Source organism: Homo sapiens, chromosome 17 (genome assembly GCF_000001405.40).
Source record: "Homo sapiens chromosome 17, GRCh38.p14 Primary Assembly".
In the NCBI taxonomy this organism is placed as follows: Eukaryota; Metazoa; Chordata; class Mammalia; order Primates; family Hominidae; genus Homo; species Homo sapiens.
In genome coordinates, this window is record NC_000017.11 from 43,231,806 (window position 1) to 43,241,577 (window position 9,772).

General features: G+C 55.9%; 3 non-coding genes across 3 annotated transcripts; all 3 read right to left on the reverse strand.

Moving 5' to 3' along the window:
- Positions 1-1,984: 1,984 nt before the first annotated feature.
- Positions 1,985-2,172, reverse strand: RNU2-1 (RNA, U2 small nuclear 1). Its single transcript, NR_002716.3, has one exon. It is a non-coding gene; the product is annotated as an RNA, U2 small nuclear 1 (small nuclear RNA).
- Positions 2,173-8,115: 5,943 nt separating this feature from the next.
- Positions 8,116-8,306, reverse strand: LOC124904135 (U2 spliceosomal RNA). The gene has a single exon (XR_007066008.1). It is a non-coding gene; the product is annotated as a U2 spliceosomal RNA (small nuclear RNA).
- A 1,068-nt stretch (positions 8,307-9,374) lies between these two features.
- Positions 9,375-9,565, reverse strand: LOC124904136 (U2 spliceosomal RNA). Its single transcript, XR_007066009.1, has one exon. It is a non-coding gene; the product is annotated as a U2 spliceosomal RNA (small nuclear RNA).
- Positions 9,566-9,772: the final 207 nt, after the last annotated feature.

The following is a 9,772-nucleotide window of genomic DNA, read 5'->3' on the forward strand; positions in this document are numbered from 1 at the left end:
CTCGGCACCCGCCCCATATGTGACTAGCAGCCCTCCTGTGTATTTCATCGCGTCCCCGTTGTTTATATCAGCTATTCCACTCACCACCCTTCTGGGCAACCCTTTATCTCCCGCTCTGAAATCCCATCGCTGAGGGCTGGGACCCCTCCTCAGTGCTTATCCCTGTTTCCCCGCGCGAGTCTGGCGCCTGGCGTGTGGAAGGCGCTCAGTAAACGTTTGTGGAGCGAAGAAACGACGCAAAGGTGATGAGCACGACGCAGTTAGGAGGCTATTGGCCCGGCGCGGGGGAAAAGGGGGAAGGTCGGGCTCGGGGTGGCAGGACCCCAGAGGGCAGGGGTGACTGCCGGGGTGCTCTTGGGGCAAGGTGGGCGTCAAGGCCCCCAGCAAGGTTGGGATAAAGTTTCTCTCCGAGGCACAGACTGCCGCCTGCGGGCTCAGCATTTACCTCTCCCTTCCTCCTTCCTAACGCAACTTCAGCGGAGGGCTGAGGGCTCTACTGCGCATTACCTGGAAAACTTATTTCACTCCACGGCCCTAAGAGGTGGGCCTTATTATTAGCCACGGCCAGGGTTAGGGTGAGGCCACTCCTCCAGGGCAGAATTTCAGGGGGTGCCCACCCCCCCGCCCTAAATCATTCAGCAATCAACATAAATTATAGTTCAACGCAATATATCTTATCTTGTGGGCCGCAAGCCACCCAGGTGCCCAGGCAAGAGCCTGAAGGCACAAGCTGTTCCAGTACAGCAAAGAAAATAATTAGAATAAGAAAAGTTTTACTAGAGATAGGAAACGGATAGGATTATATCTGACTATTATTAATCATTAGTTTGTAGCATCACTCTTTGTTCTATTACCATAATGATCTCTGTTCTATTATGATTACCTTGGGGGAAACCAGGCCACACAGAGTTAGGAGCTGAAGGGCCACAGTGAGAGGTGACCAGAAGACAAGAGTGTGAGCCCTCATTCACGCCCAGAGAAGGGCCGCTGGAGGGCTCCTTGGCCTAGCGGTAATGCCAGTGCCTGGGAAGGCCCTGGTTACTTAGCAGGCCTTGGTCTAGCGGTGGCCCCAGTGCCTGGGAAGGCACCCGTTACTTAGCAGAATTACTACGCAGCCATAAAAAAGGATGAGTTCATGACCTCTGCGGGAACGTGGAGGGAGGAAAAGGCCTCATTCTCAGCAAACTGACACAGGAAGCGAAAACAAACACCGCATGTTCTCGCTCCTAAGTGGGAGTTGAACAGCGAGAACACATGGGACACAGGGAGGGGAACATCACACGCCGGGCCCTGACGGGGCGTGGGGGGCAAGGGGAGAGAGAGCATTAGGACAAATAGCCAACGCATGCGGGGCTTCAAACCTAGACGACTGGTGGATAGGTGCAGCAAAGCACCGTGGCACACGTGTACCTATGTTCCAAACCTGCACGTCCTGCACATGTACCCCAGAACTTGGGAGGGGGTGGGGGAAACCAAAAGAGCGAGGGAGAGGCGGGGGGGGGGAAGAGAGAGAGAGAGGGAAAGAGAGAGAGAGACAGAGAGAGGAGAGAGAGAGAGAGAGAGAGACAGAGAGAGAGAGAGAGAGACAGAGAGAGAGACAGAGAGACGGAGAGACAGAGAGAGAGAGAGAGAAAGAGAGAGAGAGAGAGAGAGAGAGAGAGAGAGAGACAGGAGAAAGAAGAACTCCGGGTGGGTCCCATTCCTTTAAAAGGTCGCCACCCACTCGACTGCCAAGCTGAGATCCTAAGGACCTCCCCAAAGGAGGAGGTCGTGGCCTTCCCAAAGCGCAGTAGCCACGGTGGAAACGACAGCGTGCCGCATAAGCCTACCGTCTACCGCCCGCACATCAGGAACCTCAAGGTACTTCAGGGAAGCAGTTAAGTTAAGCCGGCGCGTCACAGGCACTCGGCGTGCAAGCCGCCCCGCAGGTGCTACCGTCTCTTACCTCCCTCTACTTTTAGGAAACACGTTGTATCCCCGGAGGGGGTGCACCGTTCCTGGAGGTACTGCAATACCAGGTCGATGCGTGGAGTGGACGGAGCAAGCTCCTATTCCATCTCCCTGCTCCAAAAATCCATTTAATATATTGTCCTCGGATAGAGGACGTATCAGATATTAAACTGATAAGAACAGATACTACACTTGATCTTAGCCAAAAGGCCGAGAAGCGATGCGCTCGCCTTCGCGCCCGCCGTCACCGTCCCACTCTCATCCACATTCAAGTCGCGGTGAGAGCCCCAGCCTCGCTCCTTGCCCCATTCCCTCTGTCTCGTCCACAGCGCTATTGACGCCCTTACACTCTCGGGCTGATTTCTTATTCTCTGCCTTTGAAAAGGGAAATCTTACACCCGTGCTTCTTCCGGCGTTCCCGGGCTTTCATTTCGAATTTGCATGCCCCGCCCTTTCACAGAGGGCGTGGCCTCCGCCGTTGACTCCGCCCCCGGGGCCGCCTCTGCCTGGGGGAGCCGGGGCTCCGCTGGGGGCGACTTCCTTGTTCGTATCGAGCCAGCGAAAAGACAGAACCGGAAGAGACCGGGGGCGAAGGCGACAGGGGTCTGTGGAAGAGACCTGTCGGCGGAGAGCGGTCCACGTTTTCCTGGAGAAAGACGAGGCTCCAGGGCAGGAGCGCGGGCTGCGCTGGGCCTTTACTTCGCCGCCCGCGGGCGGGGAGACCGGCCCCGTACCCGAGGGGACGAGGGGACGAGGGGCCCATGCCCAGTCAGGGAAGCCGAAGGCCTGGAGGGGCTTCCGGGAGCAGGGGCTGGAGTTCCTCTGCCAGGCAGGAGGCTGGCACCAGACACCCGGCAGAGGGAGGCGGCGAGGGCCCAGCAAGGATTCTCCCCAGCCCCTGTGCCTGCGTCTCCTGCGGCTTCTGTGCGCGGACCGTGTCCTGTGCTGTGTAGGGAACGCTGCCTCTCTGCTCGGGACGTGGATTCCTTTCCCCTCCTCCTCGCCCGGCTACTTCTGACGCAGGTCGTCAGGACTCCGCTTGGGTGTCACCCGTGCAGGAAGCCTCCCTTAGTCAAGGGCCCTCGGCACCCGCCCCATATGTGACTAGCAGCCCTCCTGTGTATTTCATCGCGCCCCCGTTGTTTATATCAGCCATTCCACTCACCACCCTTCTGGGCAACCCTTTATCTCCCGCTCTGAAATCCCATCGCTGAGGGCTGGGACCCCTCCTCAGTGCTTATCCCTGTTTCCCCGCGCGAGTCTGGCGCCTGGCGTGTGGAAGGCGCTCAGTAAACGTTTGTGGAGCGAAGAAACGACGCAAAGGTGATGAGCACGACGCAGTTAGGAGGCTATTGGCCCGGCGCGGGGGAAAAGGGGGAAGGTCGGGCTCGGGGTGGCAGGACCCCAGAGGGCAGGGGTGGCTGCCGGGGTGCTCTTGGGGCAAGGTGGGCGTCAAGGCCCCCAGCAAGGTTGGGATAAAGTTTCTCTCCGAGGCACAGACTGCCGCCTGCGGGCTCAGCATTTACCTCTCCCTTCCTCCTTCCTAACGCAACTTCAGCGGAGGGCTGAGGGCTCTACTGCGCATTACCTGGAAAACTTATTTCACTCCACGGCCCTAAGAGGTGGGCCTTATTATTAGCCACGGCCAGGGTTAGGGTGAGGCCACTCCTCCAGGGCAGAATTTCAGGGGGTGCCACCCCCCCGCCCTAAATCATTCAGCAATCAACATAAATTATAGTTCAACGCAATGTATCTTATCTTGTGGGCCGCAAGCCACCCAGGTGCCCAGGCAAGAGCCTGAAGGCACAAGCTGTTCCAGTACAGCGAAGAAAATAATTAGAATAAGAAAAGTTTTACTAGAGATAGGAAACGGATAGGATTATATCTGACTATTATTAATCATTAGTTTGTAGCATCACTCTTTGTTCTATTACCATAATGATCTCTGTTCTATTATGATTACCTTGGGGGAAACCAGGCCACACAGAGTTAGGAGCTGAAGGGCCACAGTGAGAGGTGACCAGAAGACGAGAGTGTGAGCCCTCATTCACGCCCAGAGAAGGGCCGCTGGAGGGCTCCTTGGCCTAGCGGTAATGCCAGTGCCTGGGAAGGCCCTGGTTACTTAGCAGGCCTTGGTCTAGCGGTGGCCCCAGTGCCTGGGAAGGCACCCGTTACTTAGCAGACCCGGAAAGGGAATCTCCCTCTCTCCAGGGGAGACAGAGAACGCTCCGCTCCACCACCTCTTGTGGGAGGTCTGACATTAGCCAGGCCGGCCCGCAGTCATCCGGAGGCTCCAACGTCTGTCTCCCTGTGATGCTGTGCTTCAGTGGTCACGCTCCTTGTTCACTTTCATGTTCAGCCTGTACACCTGGCTCCTCCTTTTAAGTTCTTAGAAGACAGCAGTAGCAGAACTAGTAGGAGTACCACAGTCTTCGATCTTTCTGATAAGTGCATAGAAGAAACGCTGACGTTTGCTGTCCTCCCTCTCCACCTCGGCTACCACAAAGGGAAAGGCCCCCTGTCCAGTGGACACGTGACTCGCGTGACCTATCGATCATTGGAGATGACTGGCACTCCTTACCCTGCCCCCTTGCCTTGACTACAATAAATAGCAGCGCCTCCAGGCACTCGGGGCCACTACCTGTCTGTCTCCGCGCTTTGGTGGCAGTGGTCCCCCGGGCCCAGCTGTCTTTCTTCCTATCTCTTTGTCTTCTGTCTTTATCTCTTCGATCTCTCGTCTCCGCACACACGCGAAGAGAAAACCCACAGACCCGGTAGGGGTGGACCCTACATTATCTCAGCTACAACATAATCAGGATATTCACGTGGACTACTGAGTCTTTCGGTGCCCCCTTGCTGTTTTAGTTTTGTCCTGCGGCCGAGTGTTTCCCTCGCTTCACGCCAACACAATCTCCGCCGCCCTGTCTTGTCATCCCCATTCTACAGCCCAGCACGGTGTAGTATGGCAGCCGCTAGCCACAGGTATCTAGGGAGCCCTGGAAATGTGGTCAGTTCTAATGGAGCTGTGCTGTAAGTGTGAAATACACGTGGGATTTTGACGGCAGTGGGAGCAAAATTCTCCCAATTTTTTTTTTTTTTTTTTTTTTTTCAGACGGAGGTTCCGCTCTTGTTACCCAGCCTGGAGTCCAATGGCGCGATCTAGGCTCTCTGCAACCTCCGCCCCCCGGGTTCAAGCAATTCCCCTGCCTCATCCTCCCAAGCATTGGGACTACAGGTATGTGCCACCACGCTCGGCTAAGTTTGTATTTTTAAAAGTATGGGGGGGGGCCACGTTGGCTTGCTGTTCTCCAACTCCCGACCTCCGGTGATCTGCCCAGCTGCCGCCTCCCCAAAGTGTTGCTTGCGATTACAGGCTTGAGCCACCGCTCACCCTGGCTTTTTTTTTTTTTTTTTCCAGACAAACTCTCGCTCTGTCGCCCAGGCTGGAGTGCAGTGGCGCGATCTCGGCTCACTGCAGCCTCTACCTCCCGGGTTCCAGCGATTCTCCTGCCTCAGCCTCCTGGGTAGCTGGGATTACAGGCGCAGGCCACCACGCCCGGCTAATTTTTGTATTTTTAGGGGGTTTCGCCATGTCGGCCAGGCTGGTCTCGAGCTCCTGACCTCAGGCGATCCGCCCGCCTCGGCCTCCCAAAGCGCTGGGATTACAGGCGTAAGCCACCGCGCCGGGCTCTTTCATTCTGTCTTTATTTTCTGAGATAGAGTCTCGCTCGGACGCTCAGGTTGGACTGCAACGGCGTGATCTCGGCTCGCTGAAACTTCCGCCTCCCGGGTTCAAGCGATTCTCCTGTCTCAGCCTCCCGAGTAGCTGGGATTATTGACGGGCAGCACCACGCCCGGCTACTTTTTGTGGTTTTTGTATCTTCTGTCTTCTGCTCTTTAGTACCGCATAGAGCCGCAGAAGACTAGCGAGTCGAACAAACGGCCCCTCTTGCAGCAGTTGTTGATCACGGGGCTGCCCCCCGGGTACTCATCCTGTGTCTCTCGTCCAAATCCCCGCTCCTCCTCAGCTATCACCTCTGCCGATGCTGGTGGTTTCCTGGGTACGGGAACAAACTCTCATTCCCCAGGGGCCTAAGCCTCGTGGCCAGGCCTTCTCAAGTCAGGGTTCTGCACATTCACAGTTACGGGTGGCCTGGGAGTAACACCTGGCACCAAACAGGTCACCAGAGTCACACATAGTCACCTGCCCTCCTGCGTAAGATCAGCTCTTCCTCCTCCCGACGATAGATCAGGGTCAATGATCCCTGCCAAGATGGCGACTGCTCCAGCCTGCTGTCCAACCTGTCCAGCCACAGCTGTTGCTCGAAGGCTTGAAGTTCAATGGGACCCTCTCCCGCTTTCTACAAACTGGTTCCTTTATTTTTATGTTTATTTATTTGGGACGGGGTCTGGCTCTGTCACCCAGGCTGGAGTGCAGTGGTGCAATCACTGCTCACTGCAGCATCCACCTCCCAGCGTCCACCCATCCTCCTGGCCTCAGCCTCCGGAACAGCTGGGGTACAGGTACGCCCCAGCCCGAACAGGTTTTCACTAGGTTGCCTGGGCTCTTTCTTTCTTTGTCTGTGTTTGTTTGTTGGTTGGTTGGTTGGTTGGTTGGTTTTTGTTTGTTTGTTTCGAGACGGGGCTCCGGCTCTGCCGCCGGGGGCTGCAGTGCAATGGCGCGATCTCACCTCACTGCGGCCTTCTGGGCTCAAGCGATCCTCCCACTGTGCCCGGCCTGAAGACAGCCTTTAGAGAAAGAAGCAGGGGGAGTTCTTCCGAGGACAGACAAGATTTCTGGAGTTTGGAAAGGGTGAGAGACTGGGTCAGCGAAAGGAACATTCCGGTCTTTATGTTGGGATGCAACGTATAGATACAGGGATGAGACCCAAAAGAGCCGGCAGAGGTTTGTCATCGTGCTCGCAAGGCAACTGCGTATGGCTGATCCCGTAAAGGATACACATACCTAGAGCGGCACGTAAAGATGCATCCAGCATGACGGGTGGAGCACGATGCTTGGACTCGAGCTCTGCTCCTGTGCGTTCCGTGATCAATGGCTTATACTACCTGCACCTCAGTTTTTCCCGGGCAAAAAAGGAAGCTTGCTGCCGGTGCGTTGGCACCTGCCTTAAAGTGCCAGCTACTCAGCGGGCTGAAGAGGAAGAAGTTCCTACTAGGAAGACACGTGGACACGTATGTTTACTGCAGCACTATTTACAATAGCAAAGACTTGGAACCAACTCGAATGCCCATGAATGATAGGCTGGATAAAGAAAGTGTGGCACGTATACAGCATGGAATTACTACGCAGCCATAAAAAAGGATGAGTTCATGACCTCTGCGGGAACGTGGATGAAGCTGGAAGGCCTCATTCTCAGCAAACTGACACAGGAAGCGAAAACCAAACACCGCATGTTCTCGCTCCTAAGTGGGAGTTGAACAGCGAGAACACATGGGACACAGGGAGGGGAACATCACACGCCGGGCCCTGACGGGGCGTGGGGGGCAAGGGGAGAGAGAGCATTAGGACAAATAGCCAACGCATGCGGGGCTTCAAACCTAGACGACTGGTGGATAGGTGCAGCAAAGCACCGTGGCACACGTGTACCTATGTTCCAAACCTGCACGTCCTGCACATGTACCCCAGAACTTGGGAGGGGGTGGGGGAAACCAAAAGAGCGAGGGAGAGGCGGGGGGGGGGAAAGAGAGGGAGAGAGGGAAAGAGAGAGAGAGACAGGAGAGAGGAGAGAGAGAGAGAGAGAGAGAGAGAGAGACAGAGAGAGAGACAGAGAGACAGAGACAGACACAGAGAGACGGAGAGACAGAGAGAGAGAGAGAGAGAGAGAGAGAGACAGGAGAAAGAAGAACTCCGGGTGGGTCCCATTCCTTTAAAAGGTCGCCACCCACTCGACTGCCAAGCTGAGATCCTAAGGACCTCCCCAAAGGAGGAGGTCGTGGCCTTCCCAAAGCGCAGTAGCCACGGTGGAAACGAAAGCGTGCCGCATAAGCCTACCGTCTACCGCCCGCACATCAGGAACCTCAAGGTACTTCAGGGAAGCAGTTAAGTCAAGCCGGCGCGTCACAGGCACTCGGCGTGCAAGCCGCCCCGCAGGTGCTACCGTCTCTTACCTCCCTCTACTTTTAGGAAACACGTTGTATCCCCGGAGGGGGTGCACCGTTCCTGGAGGTACTGCAATACCAGGTCGATGCGTGGAGTGGACGGAGCAAGCTCCTATTCCATCTCCCTGCTCCAAAAATCCATTTAATATATTGTCCTCGGATAGAGGACGTATCAGATATTAAACTGATAAGAACAGATACTACACTTGATCTTAGCCAAAAGGCCGAGAAGCGATGCGCTCGCCTTCGCGCCCGCCGTCACCGTCCCACTCTCATCCACATTCAAGTCGCGGTGAGAGCCCCAGCCTCGCTCCTTTGCCCCATTCCCTCTGTCTCGTCCACAGCGCTATTGACGCCCTTACACTCTCGGGCTGATTTCCTTATTCTTCCGCCTTTTGAAAAGGGAAATCTTACACCCGCGCTTCTTCCGGCGTTCCCGGGCTTTCATTTCCAATTTGCATGCCCCGCCCTTTCACAGAGGGCGCTCTGCGGGACGTGGATGATGCTGGAAGGCCTCATTCTCAGCAAACTGAAAGGAAGCGAAAACCAAACACCGCATGTTCTCGCTCCTAAGTGGGAGTTGAACAGCGAGAACACATGGGACACAGGGAGGGGAACATCACACGCCGGGCCCTGACGGGGCGTGGGGGGCAAGGGGAGAGAGAGCATTAGGACAAATAGCCAACGCATGCGGGGCTTCAAACCTAGACGACTGGTGGATAGGTGCAGCAAAGCACCGTGGCACACGTGTACCTATGTTCCAAACCTGCACGTCCTGCACATGTACCCCAGAACTTGGGAGGGGGTGGGGGAAACCAAAAGAGCGAGGGAGAGGCGGGGGGGGGGAAGAGAGAGAGAGAGGGAAAGAGAGAGAGAGACAGAGAGAGGAGAGAGAGAGAGAGAGACAGAGAGAGAGACAGAGAGACAGAGACAGACACAGAGAGACGGAGAGACAGAGAGAGAGAGAGAGAGAAAGAGAGAGAGAGAGAGACAGGAGAAAGAAGAACTCCGGGTGGGTCCCATTCCTTTAAAAGGTCGCCACCCACTCGACTGCCAAGCTGAGATCCTAAGGACCTCCCCAAAGGAGGAGGTCGTGGCCTTCCCAAAGCGCAGTAGCCACGGTGGAAACGAAAGCGTGCCGCATAAGCCTACCGTCTACCGCCCGCACATCAGGAACCTCAAGGTACTTCAGGGAAGCAGTTAAGTCAAGCCGGCGCGTCACAGGCACTCGGCGTGCAAGCCGCCCCGCAGGTGCTACCGTCTCTTACCTCCCTCTACTTTTAGGAAACACGTTGTATCCCCGGAGGGGGTGCACCGTTCCTGGAGGTACTGCAATACCAGGTCGATGCGTGGAGTGGACGGAGCAAGCTCCTATTCCATCTCCCTGCTCCAAAAATCCATTTAATATATTGTCCTCGGATAGAGGACGTATCAGATATTAAACTGATAAGAACAGATACTACACTTGATCTTAGCCAAAAGGCCGAGAAGCGATGCGCTCGCCTTCGCGCCCGCCGTCACCGTCCCACTCTCATCCACATTCAAGTCGCGGTGAGAGCCCCAGCCTCGCTCCTTGCCCCATTCCCTCTGTCTCGTCCACAGCGCTATTGACGCCCTTACACTCTCGGGCTGATTTCTTATTCTCCGCCTTTGAAAAGGGAAATCTTACACCCGTGCTTCTTCCGGCGTTCCCGGGCTTTCA